Genomic DNA, 25,819 nt, shown 5'->3' with positions numbered 1-25,819 from the left:
AGAGTCTTTATTAGTTGTCCTTTTTTGTTTGTGTTTATGCAAATAGTGTTATTATCAGCTTAAAATAATGGGTTATAACATAGTATCTGCAAGCCTCATGGTAATCTCAAACCAAAAAACATACAATGGATACACAACAAATAAAAAGCAAGAAAATAAATCGTATCACCTGAGTAAATCACCATCACTGAAAGGAAGACCTGAAGGAAATAAATATCACAAAACAACAAGAAAACAAAAAACAAAATAGCAGAAATAAGTCCTTACTTACCAATAATAACGAGGACTTATCAATAATAACACTGAATGTAAATGGACTAAACTCTCCGATCAAAAGACAGAGTGGCTGAATGGATGAAAAAACAAGACCCAATGATCTCTTGCCTACAAGAAACACACTTCACCTATAAAAACACACATAGACTGAAAATAAAGGGATGAAAAAAGATATTCCATGCCAATGGAAACCAAAAAAAGCAGAAATAGGTACACTTAGACAAAACAGGACTTCAAGACAAAAACTATAAGAAGAGACAGAGAAAGTCACTATATAATAATGAAGGAGTCAATTCAGCAAGAGGGTATAACAATTTTAAATATATATTCACCCAGCACCAGAGCACCCAGATATATAAAGCAAATATTATTAGAGCTAACAAGAGAGATAGGCCCCAATACAATAATAGCCAGGTGTGTAGTAGTGTGCACCTGTAGACCCAGCTACTCAAGAGGATGAAGCAGGAGGATCACTTGAACCTGGGAGATCAAGGCTGCAGTAAGCTATCATTGCACCCCAGCCTGGGCAACAGAGTGAGACCTTATCTCAAAAAAAATAAAAATAATAAAAATAAAAGTGAAAGACTAGATGCTTTCCCTCTGCTAAAGATTAGGAACGAAAATAGGATGTCCACTCTTGCCACTTCTATTCAATATTGTTATGGAGGTGCCATCCAGGAACATTAGGCAAAAAAATGAAATAAAAGGCATCCCTATTAGAAAGCAAAAAGTAGAACTATCTCTATTGGAGAGTGACATTATCTTGTATGCAGAAAATCCTAAAGGATCCACTAAAAAACTATTAGAAGTAATAAGTCCAATAAGGTTGTAAGATACAAGATGAATAAACAAACTCAAATGTATTTCTATACACCAGCAATGAAAAATCTGAAAATAAAATAAATGGAAAAATTCTATATCTAATAGATTCAAAAAATAAAATTCTTTGAAATAAATTTAACAAAAGTAATACAAACCTTATATTCTGAAAACTACAAAATATCGCTGAAAAAAAACTAAAGATCTAAATAAATGGAAATGCATTCAATGTTCATGGGTCAGAAAATTTGATATGGTTAAAATAGCAGTACTCTCCAAATTGATCTAGTGAGTCAACATATTCCCTATTAAAGCTCCAACTGACTTCTTTGTAGAAATTGACAAGCTGATTCTAAAATTCATATGGAAATGCAAGGGACCCCACCAAAACAATCTTGAAAAAGAAGAGCAATACTGGAGGACTCACATATCTGGATTTCAAAACTTAATATAAAACAATAGTAATTAAGACAGTGAGTATATAAAACAACGGTAATTAGGACAGCGAGTATAGACATCTAGAGGATATGGATAAGAACACATACAAAGAACCATAAAATAGAATTGAGAGCCCAGATAGAAACCCATGACATTTATGGTCAATTGATTTTTCTTAAGAGTCCAATAGCATTCAATGGAGAACAAGCAGTCCTTCTGACCAATAGTGCTAGGATAATTTGATAGCCACATGCAAAAGAATGAAGTCAAACCCTTCTCTTACACCACAGAAAAATTAACTAATATGGATCGAAGACCTAAATGTAAGAAGTAAAACTAGTATATAAAATTCTTAGGAAAAAAACACAGGGATAAATCTTCATGACCTTAGATTTAGCAACGGTTTCTTAGATATGACAACAATAACATAAGCAAACAAAGGAAAAAGATAAACTGAACTTTATCAAACTTAAAATATTTTGTGCTTCAAAGGACACAATCGAGAAAGTGAAAAAACAACTGATAAAATGGGAGAAAATAAATGTAAATCTTATATCTGTTAAGGGATTTGTATCTAGAATATATGAAGAATTTTTACGATTCAATAATAAAAAGACAACCCAATTTTAAAATGGGCAAAGGAAAAAATTTTAAGTTAAAAATTTTTTTAATGGGCAAAGACTCTGAATAGACAGTTTGCCAGAGAAGATATACAAACGGCCAATGAGAACATGAAAAGAAGCTCAACATCATTAGCCATCAGGTAAATTCAAACCCAAATCACAATGAGATACCACTTTACACACAAAATTCGGGCTAGAATCAAAAAGATAACAGCTATTGATTGACAAGGATGTGGAAAACCTGGAACCCTCATGCACTGCTGATGGGAATGCAAAATGATGTAGTTACTTTGGAAAACAGTCTGGCAGTTCCTTAAATAACAGGTTAAACATAGAGGTACCTACCATACGATCCCACAATTCCACGCTCGGGTGTATACCTAAGTGCACTGAAATCATGTGTCCACACAAAAACTCATACACAAATGTGTAATACTCATAGCAGCATTACTCATAAGGGCCAGAAATATTTGGCCATAAAAAGAAATGAAGTACTGATACATGCTACAATGTGGGTGAACCTTAAAAACATTATGCTACATGATAAAAGCCAGTCATAAAAAAACACATATTATAGTTATATGATTCCATTTATATTAAATGTCCAGAATAATCACGACGTTAGTGACAGAAGGTAGATTAGTGGTGGTCTAGGGAGAATGAGTATTAGAAGTGACTTTTTTTTTTTTGGAGACAAGGTCTCACTCCCATTGCCCAGGCTGGAGTGCAGTGGTACGAGTAGCCTGGACCTCCTGGGCTCAGGTGATTTTTTCCACCTCAGCCTCTGGAGTAGCTGGGACTACAGGCATGCACCACCACGTCCGGCTAGTTTTTTGTATTTTCAGTAGAGATGGGGTTTCACCATGTTGCCCAGGCTGGTCTCAAACTCCTGGACTCAAGCAATCTATCCACCTCAGCCCCACAAAGTGCTGGGATTACAGGCATGAGCCACCATGCCTGGCCCAGGAGGGACATTTAAAGGGTACAGGGTTTGTTTTGGAAGTGATGAAAATGTTCTAAAATTGACCTTGGTAATGGCCGCGCAACTTTATGAACGTACTAAGAAACGTCAAAACGTGCATTTGAAACAGATTAATTATGTAGTATGTGAATTATATCTCAATAAGGCTATTATCCAAAAAAAGTAATTTAAAAAATCACCTTTCTTGACCCCACATTCCATACCAGCTACCACTCCATTTTCTCTTTTTCCTTTGACAACAAATTCCTGGAAAGAGTTGTCAGAGAAAGGAGTTACAAATATGGAAAGGAGAAAAGTAGGATAAACGCTGTGGTGTTATGTTGGAATTAGACGTATCAGTGTGAACGTGTGTGTGTGTGTGTGTGTGTGTGTCCCCAGCTCCTATTTCCCTAGCTCTGTCCACTGACAGCCCTGGAAGCAGAGCACACTGAGCAATCCATAGTAGTAAGGAATGACAATAAAGGCACAGTCATTAATCAATACAACAAAATCTATACTTTGTAAAAAGTTTTGCCCTCTTCAAAGCATTTACCATAGAAGGTTTTAAGTGTTTTAAATTTTCTAAAACCTCTTTGGAAAACCTTCTTCAGTATGGGTCATCATCATTTGAAAAATCTTAAATGTAACAAAACAGTAAGTCACTTAGGGTAGATATTACAATTGAAAATGGCCAAAAGCCCTCAGAAGTCAACTCTGATGAATAGTGTAAATAATGAATCTGTATACTACTAGTTTTAGTCAAAACACATTTTTCAGAAAATCTACTGTGGGCCCAAAAGCATCATTTGGGGACTATATTATCTTCTAATAAGTAGATTTTTATATCTAAAATGTATAATAGGCATTTCACATACTCACTTGCAGTTCTACTGAAAGATCCCAGAGACATATTTGTCCGTCGTGACATCCTGTTACGATCGTGGCCCCATCATCTGTTAAAAGTACGGCTGAGATGCAATGTGTGGGCGCTTTTCGACCCCAAAGAACAATGGGTAGAACAAGGCTGTTTCCTGCCATTGTGTTTGTGTTTTCAAACCTGAAAATGTTATAAAAATTGTCAGATATTACAATATTTCTCTCGAAAACATGTTATATATTTTTGTTATAAAACCAACAATTTGAAAATAATCATATATTCCTGGGAGTGAATTACAGCTACTTAAATATTTATTATTTTCAAAAAAAAACGACTAGTTTATTATAACTACTCTAGATTCAGGTGCTTACAAAATAATACACAATCAACACCTGTGAAAAGAAAGAAATAACGAAATAATAATAAACAGGTCTTTACCCCAGGCATTCACAGTTTTTAAAATTTACTAATAAAAGGCCAATGACTTCAGTACCTCATATTTATCTAGGATTTCACAGTTTATAAAGCGCTTTTATGTATACTATTTCATTTTGATTCTCAAAACAGCCTTTTGACATTGGCTGACTAGAAACTGAGGCATAAACATGACCTGCCCTAGGACACAGAACTAGCAAGTCATAAAACTCAAATACAAATCTTGACCTTCAGATCCCAAGTTGTATGCCTCCATTAAAAAAGACAGGTCAAACCGTTCTCAGAAAGTCTGGTACACACAGACTGTACTGTACCACTACCACTAGACAGTAATTATGAAGAATTTTCTAAGTCCCAGAAATTCTTCTGAACATTGTATGTGTGTGTATAAATGTAAGTACATATATAAACTCCATTAATCCTTACAACAAATCAGGAGGTAAACACTATTATCATTCCTATTTCATAGACAAAGACACTGAGGCACAAAGCGATAAGTGATGGAGCCCAGATCAGAACCCAGGCAGCCTGACTTCAGAACCTGTGGTCTTTCTCACTCTGCTAGGCTACTGATGACAAATGAGATTTCCAAACCAGCAATAAATACCAACGCCCAAGAAAAACTCAGTCCTGTTTCACACTGAGCTAAACATTTTCAAAACTCTGTTCAGGGCCGGGCGCAGTGGCTCACGCCTGTAATCCCAGCACTTTGGGAGGCCAAGGTGGGTGGATCACCTGAGTCAGGAGTTCAAGACCAGCCTGGCCAACAAGGTGAAACTCCATCTCTACTAAAAATACAAAAATTAGCCAGGCATGGTGGCAGGTGCCTGTAAACCCAGCTACTTGAGAGGCTTGAACCTGGGAGGCAGAGGTTGCAGTGAGCCAAGATCGCACCATTGCACTCCAGCCTGAGCAACAGGAAACTTTGTCTCAAAAAAAAAAAAAAAAAACACTTTGCTCAGTGTGAAACCCATTCAACCACACTTACTCCAAACCCGTTATGCCTGAAGGTCATGAAAGTCTTTTGTTGTAAACTCTGAACATTGAGGGAAGAAAAGAATGTCTTTGTAAACTCATTTCTCCATTAAAGAAAAAAATGTAGCTTCTGGTGAAGGGATTTAAATTTGAGATAGTAATAGATTAACCAGAGCATCCTGGAGTGCACCTCTTGCAGGAGAGCACATATGAGGAAGTATTCCTTAATATAACAAAATTAAAATCTAATTGGCAAAACAATATTTAGGGGTTAAAAACTGTGGTCAAAGACCTAGATAACAGGAGTTCAGAGAAGTTAGAAAAAGAAGACTGGAATAGTCAAAGAAAGCTGCATAGAAGAGAGTACTCTCAGATCTCATTAGACACTAGAAGTCACCTATAGCCTGACAGATGGCCAATCAAAAGGTATAATCATTAAAGACAAAATGAGGCGATGGCCAGGTGCGGTGGCTCACATCTGTAATCCCAGCACTTTGGGAGGCCAAGGTCGGCAGATCACTTGAGGTCAAGAGTTCAAGACCAGCCTGGCCAACATGGTGAAACCCCGTCCCTGCTAAAAATACAAACATTAGCCAGGCGAGGTGGTGGGTGCCTGTAGTCCCAGCTACTTAGGAGGCTAAGGCAGGAGAATCACTTGAACCCGGGAGGCAGAGGTTGCAGTGAGCCGAGATCGCGCCACTGCATTCCAGCCTGGCAACAGAGCAAGAGTTCATCTCAAAAATAAAATAAAATAAAATAATAATTTATATCACCAAAGATTTCTCTCAAGTAAATAAGTACTAAACACTGAATCCAACGTGGTGAGACCTGGAAAGAACACCATTTCTCTAGCTAGTTGGCGACTCGTACTCAGTACATACTGCCTGGCTTAAAGAGAATGCAAACAGATTCAGGACTACGGAGTATAGGGTACTAAATGGCCCAAAACATTTTTTTCTAATATCTTAAAAACCTAATAAAAGTGAAACTTCAGAAAAGCCACCAGAAGCACTAATGAAATAATGTGAAATAGAGGATAACATCGCTTATGATGATAGAATAGTATATGACAATCAAATACTTCTAGAAAGGACTACCAGCGAATTGGCAACCACATAAACCTAGTTCTAAGCAACTGATCAAAACAAAAACAAAAAAAAGGGCAAATTAGCCAGGACCTAACCATTTAATCAGGTAGATCACAGGAATCTAAGTTTGAATTTCTTTAAAATGAATAACGGATGAGCCAAGACACACTAAACTGCCAACACAAGGAAGTTTTTTAAGGGGAAAAAAGGGCAATGTAAATCCAGAGCATGCAGTTTTTCAGCCATCAGCATTCAACCAGTCTATGTATTAGTTAATAAACCATGCTTAACGTTCCCAACATTATCACCTATTGTAGCAAAAAACTTCAATATGTTCCAAAAGCTTTATATTAAGTGGAAGTAAGCAAGTCACAGGACAGGATTTATTGGGATAAAAAAAATTATATTTTTATGGAAAGTGCCAAAAGCAAAAGTGATTGAACAAATGACTAGAATAATCTGTTAACTTTAATAGAAACTCTCAAATAAAATTACCTTACTAATTCTCCAAAATATTATATATATAATATATTCAGATTTTGCAACTAGTACATTGAGGGCATATGCTATCTTTCAGATCTCAACATGATCTTACAAATTGATATGTTCTTAGACTAGATGCTTCTAAAAACAAAATAATATTAGGAACATTGAGTTTTCATTTATGTTTGTATCAAAATCTGGCTTAAAGTTACATTTAGAGACTGCTTATTCAATTGAAATGTTTAAAAGATAAAGCTCTGGAGCCAACAAATATCAGTAATTCTAGATTCTACTTCTCATTTTGTCACTAGTTATGCAGTCTTTGATGATATCTCACTTCTGAGGCTTAGTTTTCTCATTGTTATTAAAATTAATATTGAATCATTTTTAAGTTAACAAATCATAAGGAAACAGGCATCTTAGAGATAAAATTTCAGTCATCTCTTTTGATTAATTTCAGGTATTGCTTTATTTCCCCTAATTTCACTTATTTCTCAGCTCTGTATAGAAATAATTTAAAATACTATACTCCAGTCAACAAGAGCAACAAAAATAATAACTGAAAGAACACTGGGCCTACAATCAGATGACCTATATTCAAATCCTGGCCCTTCTATGTGATCTTGACAAAGTTATCTCTCTAGGTCTCAGTTTCCCCATCTGTAAAAGATGGATAATAATATTCTCCTCCTCTCAGAAAGATGTCATAAGATCAAGCGACCATATATGTAATGCAACTAGTACAATACCTAGCACATGGCAGATGCTCAGTAAATATTATTTAAAAAAAAAAAAAACACAGATTTTGCTACTTCTTCACATTCTGCTTACACATCTACAGGCTTTTTCCAGTACTTAATATTCAATAAGGTTGGACTTTCCAACAGGTTAATACCTTTCATTGACTTTCTGCCAAAGTATAAAAGTATTACTGTGTATGCTTGTCAAACAACTCAAATTGTGCAATTGTGCAATGCAAATATAACAATTTAGTTCTGCATTACTTTATTAGAAATAATACTACCAACTTCCATCCCAAAACTAAAATGGCTTTCAAATAAAATTCCAAACTCCTAATAATTAGTATACATTTTAGAGCAGCATTTCTCAGGTTTCTAGTTCATGCCAATGCCATGGTAGGTATAAGTATTACAATAATAAATAAAATAGACACAATTCAGCTATCCAGTGGGGCTTACATACATGTAAACAATTACCACAGAGCATGAGAGAAGTCTCAAGACATATGGAAACACAAAAGATGGATTCCCTAACCTAGACTTCAATGGGTCCAGGAAGGATTCCTAGAAGAAATGATGACTAGAATGAGTAGGAATTAACCGGAATAGGCTCAGGTAATCACATGTTCTAAGGGCCAGAGGTGTAATCTCAATTCTTTCTAAACAGTAAATAGTAGGGCTGACATTTAAAGTAAAAAGGCAGAATGGTGAAAAAACAACCAATAGCCAACATGCATCAGATCACAAGGGGCTTCTTGGTAAGACATTTTCAAGAGTTTGGACTTTAATTTGACAGCAAAGGGAAGCAGGTAAAGTGCTTTAAATCTGACATTGCTTTTCAGAAAGATCACTCAAGCTGTGATATAACAGAGAGGGATAAAACTGAGGACCTGAAGACCAATGAGGCTACTGGAGTTCTGCAGAAGAGAAATGGTGGTGCTTAAATTTATCACAATCTCTTATTACTTATTTCTGGGGCGTCTCTGTTAATGGCTGTCTCCACCACCACTCTTTCAAGCTCCCTGGTTACAAGATGCACACTCTGTGTACTCACTACCAAATGATGCTTAGCACAACATCTACCACATAGGACATCTTTAATAAATATATGGTGAAGGGTGTTCATGGTGAGAATAGTACTAATAATAATACTGATATGAGAGCTAAAGATATAATAGATAAGACTTGATTTTCAACACACCAAGGTGATCAGGATGCAACATGGATTCTGATGCAAGTTTCACACAAAGGTACTTTGAGGATAAAAGAAAAGAAAAAGCAGTTTTAAATACTGAAAGCTTTCTAAGTAAAGGATGGGCATTATTATTACAATACTGATGCCTAGGGAAGTATCGACAATTTAGATTCCATCATGGAAGATAAATTACTCTATGCTTAACCATAATTTATTAACTCTAGGTTTGGGGATGAGAGAAAATACAAGGTTCCACACTGATCTTCAGTTGGGCCACATTGTAAAGATACTTAATGGTCCAATAAGCAGATATCTACATAGAGAAGCAACATGCTCAAACTTTTTGAGATAGTATGAGGGTTGGATTACCACAGAGAAACAACTAAAGACAGATAAACCAAATATGATGCTACTGCAAAAAGCCTGGGTGCTAAGTGAGAAGAAGCTTAGCTAAAGTTAGAGTACTGAAAGAAAAATAGGAGACATTACAGAGGAAGAACAATAAGTCATGGGGTTTGGCGAAATACGTAAGGCCACAGGCAAGAAGACTATTGCTTTCCAAACTGGGTGGTAAGGAAAGAGGTAGGAGGGAAGCATAGTGAGGCAGAGGAAGGAAAGAGAGTGCAATGACGCTAAAGAGGAATCTGGTCTCTAAAAAATTGTAACTCAGAAAGTATTTTCATAAAATGATACCAGAGACCTCAACAAAACTGTTCTGAATGGTAAAAAAGCAATGAGCTTTTGCCAAACCAAGTCATTTCAAAAGTTTATGAAATAACGCTCTGTCTCCTGCTGTTTTGCTTTTATTTTTTATATTTAAGCATTTAAAAAAGAAACGCTTTTGTAATTGACAAAAAAAAAAAAAAATAGCCTGGTTTCCCAATCCAGAATGGAGAGTATAGCTGGTTACCATCCAGGGGATTTTTTATTTGGGTGGATATTTAGGTCTGTTAGCAACTCTCTCAAGATCACACATCAAACTGATCTCAGAGCTCAAAAGCAAACACAGATCTCCAGGGTCCTAATGCAACACTTTTCACTCTCCTATATTGTCTTCATTTACCACAAAATTCCATTTATCAGAAAGCTTCATTATCCAGGCATTCTGGTTAATCAAGATTTTGCCAAAACACAGTACTCATTAAAAGATAAATGGAACTGCAGTGTTTACAGATAAAATCATATGATGTCTGTGATCAGTGGCTCCTGGGAGAGGAAAGAGAATATGGGCTAAGTGGTGTTAGAAGGAATGAAGATGAGGCCGGGCGCAGTGGCTCATGCCTGTAATCCCAGCACTTTGGGAGGCCAAAGTGGGTGGATCACCTGAGGTTGGGAGTTTGAGACCAGCCTGACCAAATGGAGAAACCCCGTCTCTACTAAAAATAAAAAATTAGCTGGGCATGGTGGCGCATGCCTGTAATCCCAGCTACTAGAAAGGCTAAGGCAGGAGAATCGCTTGAACCCGGGAGACGGAGGTTGCAGTGAGCCAAGATTGTGCCGTTGCACTCCAGCCTGGGCAACAAGAGTGAAACTGCGGCTCAAAAAAAAAAAAAAAAAAAGACGAAGGAATGAAGATGAAATAGTATCCTAAGTATGATGGATGCTATGTGCCCAAATCTTCCTTCAGGAAGGAAGGACCCAACTGGTGAGAGAGCTCCCAGCAGACAAGCCCAGGTTGTCAGCACCACTAAGGATTGCCTCAGCCCAAGAGAGATGGCTTGTCCAAGCTCTTGTACCCTTCCCATGGGACAGCCCACATCCAGTGACGGATCAATATGGAAATATAAAGGCCAGACCCCCTCACAAATCAGGATATCACTGAAGGGTCATCCCATCTTCAGAACTTCCCCCAGGGTCAACTGAGACTCCTCTGAGACTCATCACGACTCAACTTTAACCCAGGGCCAAACTATTTCCTTTCCCTGGGTGTTGATCCCAAGAGCACTCCCTAATAAGCCTGAGTCTCCATCTCAGAGTCCGCTCACCAGGGAACTCAAACTGTGAAAGTAAGTATCGAAGCTCTTTTTAGTGCAAGAGTGTGCATTATACTGTTCTTTCTACTTTTATATATTTGAAAATGTCTATAATTTTTAAAGGGTACCTGGAAAGAACTTCAATGTCCACAAATCAGGGATTAAATAAATTATGATAGAGCTTTATAATGGAACACTGCAGTATGAGATATAAAACAAACACCAAAATATACAGTGGGTACACACACACTTTGAATAATTCTGAAATGATAACGTACAAAAAAAATCAGTAATATGACTGCCTTTTAAGAGGAAGACTAGGAAGAGGAGACTGGGCTGAGTAGAATTCCTAATTCTCAAGATAAATTCTTGGGTTTTTTGTTTGTTTGTTTGTTTTTGCCCCATCATTGTGTTTTCCATTATAATACAGTTAAATAAAGTGGCCTAGATACACCTACACCAAGTTCTTCTTCTTCTTCTTTTTTTTTTTTTTTTAGATGGAGTTTTACTCTTGTCACCCAGGCGGGAGTGCAGTGGTGCAATCTCGGCTCATTGCAACCTCTGCCTCCCAGATTCAAGGGATTCTCCTGCCCCAGCCTCCTGAGTAGCTGGGATTACAGGCGCCCGCTACTAGTCCTAACTAATTTTTGTATTTTTAGCAGAGACGGGGTTTTGCCATGTTGGCCAGGCTGATCTCAAACTCCTGACCTCAGGTGATCCACCCGCCTCACCTCCCAAGGTGCTGGGATTACAGCCATGAGCCACCATGCCCAGCCACACCAAGTTCTTTTGTTTTAAAGTTGTACATATGCACACAACATGGCGTTCTGAACATACATTTAACTTTAACAAGTATTTATCTTTAGCCTATAATATTTTCAAATGCTAGCTCCCTTCCACTGTGAGTGCCCTGTCCTAAGCCACATGATTTACTACTCCTACTACTATTTTCACTACACCTTCCAAATGCCTGATGCATACCACTCATTCATTTGTACAGCCTATGTTTCTCAAGGATAAAATCTATAAATCTAGCACCTTTGTTATCTAAGCATTATCAAGTAAGCTGCATATCTGCACCTAAAACGCTGACTTTTACTAGGGGTCAATATGTATTTATTGAATGAATAAACAGAGAATAACAATAACTAGCATTTATTAAGCCCTCACTATGTGCCAAGGGCTGTATTAAGGGTTTCATGTACAACTCAAATTTAACTCTTTTGAGGAAAAATGTCTCTTAAAAAAAAAAAAAAAGGAGAAAAAAAAAAACTTCTGAACTCTGCAAAAATCTTCCTCCTTTAATTATGTTCTCACCGTCTACCATTTCAATCTATTTTATAAGTTGACCTTTGCCCTTCAAACATGTCTACATTTCATTTTTATCCAAATACCTTCACTGGCCTCTACTTGTAACCCTAACAATCTCTCTCCCTCTCATTACAATTAGCATTTTGAAATCTGTGGTCTTTAACTTGGTGCTTCCATTTCCTTAGTATAAAGGCCTCATGTACTCTAGTCTGCGCCCTCAAAAAGACTTAATTTAAGGACACTCAAGATCTCCCACTACATGAAGGGGTCAACAATCCTAAAATGACACTCCAGGGCAGAGCTCTCCAATATGGCAGAGACAAGCAATACCTTATAAGACAAGTGAGAAAAGAGGATGCTTTGACATTAATCGATTGTTGATACCTATTCTTCCTAAGTCCAATTATCTTATATATACTTTATAGCTGCTAGTGTGACATTGCTGATTTTTTGCAATGCACTCTCTTTTTTTCTGGTACAGCAGACTGTCCCCATTATCTTCTTCCTATTTTCTCATCTTTCCTCTACCTAGACACGTGAAGGCCCAAAAAGCCCTAAGAAAAATTCCAAAGACTTAACCCTGTTACCTCATGTTGTTGTTGTTTTTTTTTAATTTGATATGACTTTAAAATTTTTTTAATGAAATTACCTTTCTCCGTGTGATTCCTCCCAAATTTTTATTATGAAAAATCTCAAATATACAAAAGTTCAAAGAAGAATATAACAATCACTCAAAAAATAATATCGTGTCATATTTCCCTTGGCAATGTGGTATATCTACATATATGCTGTGCATATATATATGTATATATGCTGTGCATATATATATGTATATATGCTGTGCATATATGTGGTGTATATATGCTGTGCATATATGTGTGTTTTTAAAAAGTCTGTGCATCTATATGTGTACATATTTTGTGTGTGTAGAACCACTTGAAAGTAACTTATACATACCATGATGATTCACCCCTAAATGCTTTTAAAGACAGAACTTAAAAATAAGGGCATTCTCCTTCATAAACACAATACCATTATCACACTCACTATTATCAACACCATAATCATTCTCTAATAGCATCTACAAACTAGTCCATATTCAAATCACTTCAATAATCTACAAAATGCTTTTTATAATGTTTTCCCTCAGACCTGTAAACAAAATACTCAAGTTTTATGCACTGCATTTGGTTGTTGTTATGGACTGAATGGTATGTCCTCCCAAAACGCATATGTTGAAGCCCTAACCCCCAGTGTATTTGTGTATTTGGAGGTCAGGCCTGTGAGAAGGTGATAAAGGTTAAATGTGGTCATAAGAGCAAGACACTACTGTGATAGGGCTGGTGTCCTTGTAAGAAGGGTAAGAGACACAAAAGCTCTCTCCCTCTCCACCACTGTGAGGACGCAGTGAGAGGGCAGCCATCTGCAAGCCAGGAAGAGAGCCCTCACAGAAAATAAACCTTCTGACCTTGATCTGGGGCACTTCTAGCCTCCAGGACTGTGGGAAAATAAAATTCTGTTGTTTAAGCCACTCAGTTTGTAGTATTTTGTATGGCAGCCTGAACAGGCTAAAAAAGCTGTTATGTCTCTTTAGTTCTAGAATGATCCCACCTTATTTTTTTTAATACTAATTTTAAGAAGCCAAACCAATTGTTTGTAGAATGTTCCATATCTGAAGATTTTTCTGATTGTTTTTTATGATATCATTTAACTTGTTCCTTTCTGATTGTTTTTTATGACATCATTTAACTTCTTCCTTGTTCCTCCATCACCTGTTTTTACTACACCTGTTCCTCCATCACCTGTTTTTACTACAAACGAAATTGGATCTAACGTTTGCCTCAAGTGAACGTTGTGGGCAAGAATACTCGATAGATGTTGATGTACACTTCACACTGCACCACCTCAGGAAGCACACAACATCACATTGTCTATGAGCAACAATGCTACCTTCGACCATTTGATTCAGATGGTGACTACCAGATTACTTTCACTGCTACTGTTTTTGTTTTTCCTTTTGAAACTATCAATGACCTATGGGGCGATATTCTGATAAGACCATCCTGTTTCACACTATCCCATGTAATATTGGTAGCACACATGATTTCTAAAAGCTATAAACAGTTAAGATTATATACAAACTAGTATCAGATCAATGTTAATTCCTCCACACTGTTTGTCTAGCTCTCAAATGCAAAAGCAGGACGTATTTCTATCCTAGCAACAGGGTGTTTTCACAGGATAGTCAATATGTTCTCAGTCTATGTACTTCTTGTGTCCCAGGCAGGCCCCCTGTGACTTGCAGACAAAAACAAACTCAAATTTTCTCTCACGAGGATGCGCATACATGAATTGGCACAGGCCTTAGCTACCCACCTACCGATGGGGAATATGAGAAGCAAGTACTAAACCCTAAACAGCTAAATGTATTTGCCACAGCTGCAGTGAAAGAAGAATGAGAAGTTTGTAAAGGTTTATTCAAATTCTCAGAGAACATTCCTATGTCATTTGTCAAAAGAGTGTACCCAAGTCAAGATCACAGTATGATGTGATGAGGACATGATGATTAAGATGATGTATTTTGTGTGTGTGTGTGTGCTTGTGCATTTACCACCAATCAATTGAAGACTTGGAAAACAAACCTGAAGCAGATAATAAAGACTCTGTTTATTATACTACTATGAAACAGCTAGGTCATAAAAACACACTAAAGAAACTACTCGGCTGCTTCCTTATAACAAAGTGTTTCCAGAATTTAAGGGCTGTAAGGGACACAACCTTCTGAACACTTAAGCAGCTGACAAGATTATACTTTCTTATTTGGGTGGTTAAGAAATATACTGTACTCTCAATGAGCCTGACACTTTAGGACTGCTTGGTTAAAGGAAGCCCCAGTGTTCGGTTTCAAAGGAACATGTGGAATGAGCAGATGGCAACAGGAGACTACACTTATTTCTTATTGCTAAACAGCCCTGAGTGCATGAGAGACAGATTTTGAAGAACTGCAGAACTATCTGGTCAAAAATAAATCACATTTTAAAAGTGATTCATAGATGCTGAGGCATATAAATCATGTTTTAAATTTCTGCAGGTGATATTATAATGAATGAACTCTTCTGCTTATGCTGTATCCATCACCAACCTACAGCAATTTCAAGAGTTACTGATTAAGCTAAAAGCCCATTATGCCCACCAAGACCTTACTTTTTAAAGGAAATTCCATTTGGTTGAACCAACTTCGACTTTCTCCTGCCACCCACCTCTAATCTCATTTGCATCTCCAGTCATTCCAATTTCTTCCCTTAGGTTGCCATCAAAAGTCTAAACTGAGCACTGAACTTTCTCGTTGTATATAAATTGAATTAAACAGAAAAAGAAGAAACAAACATGCTTCCCCAAATTTGAAGCTGAATTGTCACATTAGTCTTGGAATCACTAAAATAAGATGGGCAACTGTGAAGGTATGAAAGTCACACTAACTAGAGAGGAACCCAGCTCTCCATTTCCATTTTAAACTCTGAGGAAATATGTGATGTCTCAAGTTAAACTTCTCATTTGTAACATTACCCTCCTCCTGCTCTGCCTGTCACAAAAACTGCCCTTGACAAGGTCACCAATGACCTCCCCACTGTTAAATCCATTATCAAGTTCTAACCCTTATCTTACTTGACCTACCAGCAATTTGACATAGTTCATATTCCGTCTTTGAAATAAATACTTCTTTACCTGGCCTCAAAGTCTTCACTTTTTCCTGACTTTCCTTCTTCTTCTCTAGCTTTAGTCTCCTTTCTTTCTTTTCTTTCTTTTTTTTTTTTTTTAACCTTTAAATATTGGCATTCCCACAACTTAGTCCTTAGACTTCTCTTCTCTGGCAACACTCCCTCCCTCAATGATCTCATCAAGCCTCATTGCTTTAAACCATCTATAGGTTGAGTATCCTTTATCTGAAACACTTGGGATCAGAAGTGTTTTAGATTTTGGATTTTTTTCAAATTTGGGGATATTTGTATTATACTTACAGGTTGAGCATCTCTAATCTGAAAAATCTAAAATGCAAAATGCTCCAATGAGCATTTCTTTGGAGTGTCATGTTTATGCTCAAGAGTTTTGGATTTTGGAGCATTTTGGATTGCAGATTTTGACAGTTCCCCAGTTTATTGTGTGGGATGCTTTTCTGAAATCCAAATCAGTATGTCCAGCTTCCTACTCAACATCTCCTTTTGGATAGCTAATAAGTTTCTCAAACTTGGCATGTCCAAAAGTGAGCCCCTGATCATTCCTCAATGGTGCCCCTCCCACAGTCTACCCATCTTAGTTATTGGCAACTCCAGTTTTATAGCTACACAGACCAAAATCCTAGAATCATCTTTAGTTACTCTATTACTCTCTCACACATACACATTCCACATCCCAATCCATCAGTAAACTCCACTGGCTATACCTTCAAATCATATCCAGAATCCTGCAACATCTCAACACTTTCACTACAACCACCCTATTCTCAATCAGCATCTTCCATCAGGGATAACACAACAGCCCTCTAACTGGTCTCCCTGTTTCCATCTTTGCTCCCCTGCAGTCTCAACACAGCATATAGAGTGACACTATTAAAAAAAAAAATCATGCTGTGATCACATCTCAAAATCTTCCAATGGCTTCCTGTCTCACACATAGCAAAAGCCAACTCTACATACAACTGCCTATCCTATATGAGTGAGGTGGTTGTTCTCTCCCTTGCTTACTCTTTTCCATCTGCTCTGATTCATTGGTGTTGCTCAAAGATACTAAACAGAATCTTACCTCAGAACAGTGTCCCCCACCCCAGATTCCTTCTGGCACACTCCTTTGCCCTCTTCAAATCTCTATAAAATATTACCTTTTTAGTGAAGAGTTTCCTGACCATCATAAATTGCAAAATCTACCACTCAAACTAAACACTTACAATCATTTAACATACCATATGTTTTATTTATTTATCATCTGCCTCTCCTGGTGTATGTTCTATGATGGTAAAGATCTGTGTTTGGTTTCTTCTCTATTGTATTCCCAGTGCCTAAAATTCCTTCCACATAGAAGGAATCCAAATACTTGAATAAATAAACAAACTAGTGAATGAAATATGTTTGCGTTGGTTTAAGTAAAGTTGCACCCATCAGCAAATTAAAGTATATCCCGATTTTATATGTTTTGGATTTCACAGGGCAGTTTCTTGTCAACTAGTTCTTCTATAATAATGTCAACAATTAATACAAGCCTCCTTAATCAAAATGTCATTAACATATTGTTTTTTTCCCCAGCTACAGGTTTTACCTACGCTCCTGCCTCTTTTAGTCTATCGTGACATATACACAGCAAAATATATCTTAGGGCCTATGAAGCAAATTAGCTGACATAATCACTACTACAGTCACTAAGGCCTAGTAATTAATCACAACACTGTTTCTTAAAAGTAAGTACAGGGGGCCGGGCGCGGTGGCTCAAGCCTATAATCCCAGCACTTTGGGAGGCCAAAGCTGGCAGATCACAAGATCAGGAGTTCAAGACCAGCCTGGCCAACATGGTGAAACCCCATCTCTACTAAAAAAAAAATACAAAAATTAGCTGGGCACAGTGGTGCACGCCTGTAGTCCCAGCTACTCAGGAGGCTGGGGCAGGAGAATCGCTTGAACCCAGGAAGTGGAGGTTGCAGTGAGCCAAGATCATGCCACTGCACTCCAGTCTGAGCAACAGAGTGAGACTCTGTCGTTAAAAAAAAGTAAGTAAGTACAGTGATATTTCATTCGTGTGAATTTTTTGCTCCAACTAATGGAAGTTTATACTGTTTATTTGTATTTGAAACATTTAGAAAAAAGAAGAGCCTTTAAGGAAGATAGCTTAAATGTGAAATAAACTTGAATGTGAAAACAGAAGGTAACTGGCTCACTCTATCAGTCTGTTATCACTGACATATACCAACTACCAACATTCAGAGAGAAACATGATGTGCAAAAAACTATCTTCAGTGAGCTTGTAGGGTCATAAATTACAACTGCTAAGCTGAATGGGAGACTGCATTTTCAAAGTCATGTATTTCCAGGCTGGGCGCAGTGGCTCATGACTAATTCCAGTACTTTGGGAGGCCGAGGCAGGCAGATCACTTGAGGTCAGGAGTTTGAGACCAGCCAGGCCAACATGGTGAAACCCTGTCTCTAATAAAAATACAAAAATTAGTTGGGTGTGGTGGTGCACACCTGTAATCCCAGCTACTTGGGAGGCTGAGGCAGAAAAATTGCTTGAACCGGGGAGGCAGAGGTTGCAGTGAGCCGAGATCATACCACTGCACTCTAGCCTGGGCGACAGAGCGAGATTCTGTGTCAAAAACAAAACAAAACAAAAAAACAAAGTCACATATCTCCAGAAATGTTATATTTTAAAGAGCCTACAGAATAACGCTTAGCACTTCAGAAATCTTCCCTCCCCTAAACTGACCAGTGCCCTAACATTCGTTGTTCCAACATTTTATGGCTCCCACTAACTCAAGTAATCAACAGCCAAAAAAAAAAACCCCTGTAATTTCATTAAACGTCACCAACATAGTTTGAAAAAAAATCCAATTTTATTTAAAATAGTAAATACTTCATGAATGTAATATATATGTTCCTTAATAGAAAGGAAGTAAAAATTTCCTTGGACTCACAAGGACTTTCTGAATGCAGTCATGATGTAGGATTTCTTCTTCCAACATAATTGTTTGTGTTCTTTTGTATTCAGCAAAGCAGCTTTAAGAATCAGATACAGACAAAGACAAACGAACCATATGGATGGAATTCAAATTGTAAGTTAACATTACTATCATAGTACCTGTCAGTGAGAACATGTCCTCTTATTGATGGCAGAATTTCACTGAGCTATCCATAGCTCTCAGCTGATTTTGCCTATGATCAATGGCATGCACATATGTAAGACTATTAATTCTTCAAAAAGTGCATGAATTAAATGGACAAAAATGAGAACAGAACCTACAAACCTCACTAACTCCATAATTTAATTGCCAGGCATGGTGGCTCACGCCTGTAATCCCAGCACTTCAGGAGGCCTAGGTGGGAGGATAACCTGAGGTCAGGAGTTTGAGACCAACCTGGTGAAACCCCATCTCTACTAAAAATACAAAAATTGGCCGGGTGTCCTGGCGGGCACCTGTAATCCCAGCTACTAGGGAGGCTGAGGCAGGAGAAACGCTTGAACTTGGGAGTTGGAGGTTGCAGTGAGCTGAGATCACACCACTGCACTCCAGCCTGGGCAACAGAGTGAGACTCCATCTAAAAAAAAAAAAAAAGTCCCAACAAATTAAAAAACTGTCACAGGGAGATGTAACAGATAAACCCAGGAATAAAGGCACTACATAGTTCCAGGCCTCACTCTACACGCACTAAAATTACTTCAAGATTTACACTATGAATTTTGATTTCTGTCTAGTAGAACACAAAAAGACAAAGGTAGATTATCAATATATGAAAATCAATAGCATTTTCTTGTATCAGCACTAATCTACTTAAAAAATAGTATACCATTCACAGTATTTTTATAAACTACAATATTTTACTCAAAGTCATAAGTGAAAGACCATTCCATGTTCTCAGATAAAATGTCCTAATATTATAAAGATATCAATTTTCCTCAAAATAAATCTGTAAGTCAAAGTTCTACTGGTATTGTTTTTAGAAACTCAAACTAACTCTAAAATACATAGGAAAGAATAAAAATACATAAATAGCTGAGCCAAACTTTGAAAATGGGCAAAGATGAGAGAAAGTGCTCTACCAGATATTTAACATCACTAGCTAATTTGGGAAATGCAAATTAAGACCACACTGAGATATCATCACACATCAGAACAGTTAAAAAAAAAAAAAATAGTGGCCGGGCGCAGTGGCTCACATCTATAATCCTAGCACTTTGGGAGGCTGAGGCGGGCAGATTGCCTGAGCTCAGGAGTTCGAGACCAGCTTGGGCAACATGGTAAAACCCCATCTCTACTAAAATGCAAAAAATTAACTAGGTGTGGTGGCATGCGCTTGTAGTCCCAGCTACTCGGGAGGCTGAGGCAGGAGAATTGCTTGAATCTGGGAGGCGGAGGTTGCACTGAGCCAAGATTGCGCCACTGCACTCCAGCCTGGGTGACAGAGCAAGACTCCATCTCCAAAAAAAAAAAAAAAAACAGTGACAGTATCAAATGCTAGTGGAAGACGATGCAAAGAAATGCAATCTCTCATACATTCCTGGTAGAAATGTAAAATGGTACAACCACTCCAGAAAACACTTTGGGAGTTACTTCAAAAACTAAACATACACTTACCATACCATCCAGCAACCATGTCCCTGGGCATTTATCCCCCAAAAAATGAAAATTTAAATCCATACGCACACACACACACAAAACTGTACAAGAATGTTCACAGCAGCTTTATCTGTAACAGCCAAAAATTAAAAACAGCCCAGATATGCAGGTGAATGGTTAAACTTGGATACATACGTACCATGGAATACTACTCAACAATTAAGAAGTACAAACTATTGATAAATGCAACAATTTGGATGAACCTCAAGAACTGTCTCATTCAACAATGTTGATGAATCTCAAGAACTGTCTCATTCAACAATTTGGATGAATCTCAATTTCAAAAGATTACATGCTATAGGATTCCATTTATATAGCACTCTGGTAATGACAAAATTATAGAGATAGAAACTGATTAAACTGATTAAGGGATGGTGAGGGTAAGGGAGGTGGATGAAACTAGAAAGAGGTAACATGAAGAAAATCTTTGTAGTGATAGAATAGTTCCATATCTTCTTCCTCTTTTTTTTTTTTTTTTTTTGAGACAGGGTCTTACTCTGTCCCAGGCTAGAGTGCAGTGGCATAATCACAGCTCACTGCAGCTTCAACCTTCCCAGGCTTAGGTGATCCTCCCACCTCAGCCCCCCAAGTAGCTGGGACTACAGGCATGCACAACCACACCAGACTAATTTTCGTATTTTTTGCCAGAGACGGGGTTTTGACATGTTGCTGGTCTCAAACTCCTGGGCTCAAGCAATCTGCCTACCTCAGCCTCCCAAAGTGCTGGGACTACGGGCATGGTCAACCACATCAGCCTAGCTCTGTATCTTGATTGCAGAGGTAGTTGCAGGAATCCACACAGGTGATAAAATGGCACAGAACTATACACAGGCATTGTACAAAATCAATTTATTGGTTTTGATACTGTACTACAGTGGTATAAATTGTAACTATTGAGGGAAGTTCCTTGGGTGAAGCTGCATAAAATGTAACCACTGGAGGAAACCAGACCTCTCTTTACTATTTGTGCAACTTCCTATGAACCTATAATTATATCAAAATAAAGTTAAAACAAAATAAATGGGAAGAGTTATTTATATAGGAGGAAAAAACATACTACTACAAAACCATAGAGTTAAAACAGTATAGTGTTAGAGCAAGAACAGACAAACCAAAGGAAAGGACTCAATATTCAGAGTATATATGAGCACTTAATACACAGTGTGACACCATATCTATGGGAAAAGGGAAGAAAGATGCCAGGAAAACTGGCACAGTACATGGAAAATAAACTGGATCACAAACTTGTGACACATAAAAAGTTAAACTCTGCATGTATTAAAGACCAATAAGTTTAAAAGAAAACTATGAATTAGCAGTACATAACATAGCAGAGTAACTTTGTGGCACAGCACTGGGGAAAGATTTCTTAAACAAAACCTCCAAAATACAACCATATAGCCAAAAGATTTTTTAATTTGATTATATCAAAATATAAGATTTCTGTTCAATGAAGAACATCATGAGAAAGATTACAGACAAATGACAGATTAGGAACAGATACACTTGTAATACTTAAATGATTAGTATCTATGGAATACAAGAAATGTCCGCAAATCAACAAGAAAGAACTGAAACCCCAAAATAAAAATGGGTGAAGGGATGAACAGGCAATTTCACAAACAAAAAATTAAAAAAGATAAAACACACATGAAGAAATACTCAGATTCGGCAGGGCACGCTGGCTCATGCCTGTAATCCCAGCACTTTGGGAGGCTGAGGCAGGCAGATCACAAGGTCAAGAGATCGAGACCATCCTGGCCAACATAGTGAAACTCCGTCTCTTCTAAAAATACAAAAATTAGCTGGGCGTAGTGGCGCGTGCCTGTAGTTGCAGCTACTCAGGAGGCTAAGGCAGGAGAATCGCTTGAACCTGGGAGACAGAGATGGCAGTGAGCCAAGATCGCACTACTGCACTCCACCCTGGCAAGAGTGAGACTCCATCTCAGAAAAAAAAAGAAATGCTCAGATTCATTAGTAGTGAATGAATCTGAATAAATAATGAAATGTAATTTAAAATGAGATTTAATTTTGTATCTATTAGTCTGGAAAAATTGGAGCACTGAATAAAACCAAGCATTTGTGGGGAAACAAAGATAAAGGAACCCTCACGAGCTTCCTGCAGGTGTATAGACTATTGCTGCTTGTTCTAAACATCATCTGGTGGTGCTTCAATAAAATATATGAAAACCAAATGATCCAGAATCACATATGGATCTATAACTCACTGAAAGTATCACAGAGGTCTAAAATGTATGCTTATCATAGTATTATCTGTAGAGGTAGGAAAATGAAAATAACATGGGTATCTACAAATAGGAGAGCAGACAGATAAACTGTAGTAGATGTACATTCTGAAATATTGTGCAGCACTTGGAAGCAAAGAACAGCAATGCAATAGATCTTCAAAACATAATAGTGAGACAAAAAAACTGCACGATATCATCTCTATAAATTAAAAATGTGGGCACCCAGAACAATATACATTTAATAACACATACAAACAGAAGAATACACATCATACAGAATGGTTGCATATGGGTTGATGAGCAAGAGAAAACAGCGGGAATTAGAAACAAAAAACAATGAATGAGACTGGATGTGGTGGCTCACACCTGTAATCCCAGCACTTTGGGAGGCCAAGGCTGGTGGATCACCTGAGGTCAGGAGTTCGAGACCAGCCTGACCAACATGGTGAAACCCCATGTGTACTAAAAATACAAAAATTAGCCAGGCATGGTGGCACAGTCTGTAATCCCAAGCTAGTCAGGAGGCTGAGGCAGGAGAATCGCTTGAGCCCGGGATGGGGAGGTTGCAGTGAGCTGAGATCACGCCACTGCACTCCAGCCTGGGCAATAAGAGCGAAACTCCATCTAAAAAAAAAAAAGAAGAACGAAAAATGCAGGCAGGGGAGATGCCTTGAACAGCCCATTGAATTGAGTAAGATTAACTCCATCCTCTGCACCTGAGGTCCAAAATGAACTTTAAGGACTCATACATCTAATAAACATCACACCACTAAAGCTAAATGTCATCCTACCCCTCTCACGAAGAAAACACAAAACAAGCTCACTACTTTGAAGATTTTCGATGCTAAGTGTGTTACATGGAGAAACCACCCAACTTCCTTTAACTTCAAAACGGAACATATATCAAAGATAAAAGGAAACTGTAAGATACAAGGGTCACTACCCCTAAAATTTAAGTTAAATTCTTACAGGGATATTCAAACCAAGCCAAGCCCAGTCCCTTTGATTCACCCAGTCACCGAGATCTTTTAAAATTTAGTTACAGGTGGCAATAAGAAAAAATAAAGGGCATACTCTCATTTTTCTCTTAAAGTATTTCTCTGAAACACTCTTAAAATAAGGATTGGCAGTAAAATAAATGAATTTTCTACCATAATCCCTAATTGACATTAATAATAAAGCATTAATTATATTTATAGTGGTTCGTTTTCCCAATTTATAATAACTAATATGTATTGTTCTGGATGGAACTAGACAGTTTTTTATTCTTTGTAATAATGAGGGCATTTCAACACATTATGTTCACTTTTAAGCTGACCTTCATACAGCCACGAGTTTGTTTATAAAGCAAGAAGCAGAGTCAAACTAAAATTTTTGTTTTACAAAATGTCAAAAACTCAGTTAATTTCTTTCATACAACAGGCAATTCCTGCAACCTTGCCCATAAAATCCTAAGACATAAACACCTGAAAGAGTCAGTTTGCCTTTTTTTGTCTCATGGCAAATATTACAGTGAGAGGAAGCTATAGCTGCCACTGACCGAACCCTAAATTCAGCAGCATCAACAATATCAATGCAGCCTGTCATGCGACGGTAGGTTCCCTAGTTTCAGACTATCTAACCCAGCAAATTCTGCCTCAAAAAGTGACATACTAAGTGGGTAAAAAACATAAAACAGCAATTTTTGAATCAAAGTTAGGGTAGTGCTGACTTCAAACATAGCTTCAGAACGCTGGGACCCATCACTAAGTGAATGGGAGTGACTGGCATCCGCTCAGACAAGTACTAGGGCAAAGGGATAAGAACTGGCAGATGGCATCTCAAAAATGAAATTCTAACAGTGGTGTCAGTACCTTGGGCATGGGCAAAAATAGTACCAACAGGAAAGGAAAGACTATATGAACCCCAAAAGCAAGCACATCGCCCAAAATTGCTGTCAATAACCACCAACGATCATCACCAATCACCTGATCCCGTTTAGATTGCACCTGGGAACCAGGCAGTCCCACCTCAAGACCAAAGCAACTGTCACAAGTAGCAAATATCACTCACCAGGCAAGGGAGCCACAAAGACCCCCGGCTGGCCCCCACGCTCTTGGTAACGGCGCCTACTTTTGGGCCCGACCTGCAGGCTTGCAGCCGCAGCGATCTGACAGCTAGCACCGCCCCCGGCTAGAGCGGGTTTGTGACCTTTGACCCCTGACCCCTGACCTCCACGGTGCAGGAACATCCCGCCCTGTGGTTTCCCATGGAGAAGCTTGAAAGCCCCCTTACCTGTCACAGCTTCATCTCATGCCGCGATGTAGCCTATCAGACCGCCGGTGGGCGCCCCAGCCAAGGAGGACAAGGATAGGGCGGAACTACGGAGGATGCGGGGTGCGTAGATCCTGCTGGGATAATCCGTGGGGCGGCAAGCGCTATACAGCCGCCGTCTCCCCAGTGATACTGCAAGGTGCCGGTGCCGCCGCCGCCGCCACTGCAGTAAATCAGCTGACACCAGCCCCAACTGCCGTGACTTTCGCTGCAACTGTCGCAAAAATGAGGGGGCGGGAAAGACTCACCATTTCCCTACTTGCAAGGCCTAAGCCGGCGCCGAGAGAGCCAGCCGCGTTACGATGGAGACCGAAAGTGGAGAAAAGGCCAGCTGTGGGCAAGGAGTGCACGGCCGCCATCTTGGTTGTGGGAAGTCTCGTCTAGGCTGTCCTCTCTCCAGTTGGGAGGACCAAGATGGAGCGAAGGATGAAGTAGCAAGTGCACGTCTTTCTTGGGAGCAGGATGTTGCGCAAGTTTACACTTCTGACCCCATCACACTGCTTCCCACTGAGATGCAAGAGGTAGGGAATTCCCTAAACACTGGAAAGTATGTTGGATGCTGGAAAGCTAAAAAGAATGACAAATGTCCCCCAAGATAGATAAGCTATAGTATAGTGCAGGATGAGAAATGCCAAATAAGGAGCAAGGAAGAAAAGAGATGAATTATTTCTAGGTTGGGGTAAGGA

General features: G+C 38.4%; 1 protein-coding gene across 12 annotated transcripts in view, besides 1 other annotated feature; it reads right to left on the bottom strand.

Moving 5' to 3' along the window:
- Positions 1-25,312, bottom strand: part of WDR7 (WD repeat domain 7) — a 385,248-nt gene extending 359,936 nt beyond the window's left edge. For 10 of the 12 annotated variants that reach the window (XR_007066131.1, XR_007066132.1, XR_007066133.1 and 7 more), the window contains exons 1-2: positions 25,095-25,312; positions 3,997-4,174 (exon numbers count right to left, since the gene is read on the bottom strand). Coding sequence is in view for 8 of the 12 variants with exons in the window: in NM_015285.3 (NP_056100.2) it covers positions 3,997-4,155 (159 nt within the window). In the remaining 4 variants the exon portion in view is untranslated. Of the gene's footprint in view, positions 1-3,996; positions 4,175-24,872; positions 24,975-25,094 lie in introns of those variants that run through there. The other 2 variants (NM_001382487.1, NM_001382485.1) reach the window with 1 other exon arrangement.
- Positions 25,192-25,581: an enhancer, noted in NCBI's record as "active region_13364". NCBI's record gives its function as "activates an Ori minimal core promoter by ATAC-STARR-seq in GM12878 lymphoblastoid cells {active_cell/tissue: GM12878}" and the evidence as "EXISTENCE:reporter gene assay evidence [ECO:0000049][PMID:35858748]".

Source organism: Homo sapiens, chromosome 18 (assembly GCF_000001405.40).
Source record: "Homo sapiens chromosome 18, GRCh38.p14 Primary Assembly".
In the NCBI taxonomy this organism is placed as follows: Eukaryota; Metazoa; Chordata; class Mammalia; order Primates; family Hominidae; genus Homo; species Homo sapiens.
The sequence above is the reverse complement of the archived record's forward strand: the minus strand, read 5'-3'. Positions and strand labels throughout refer to the sequence as shown.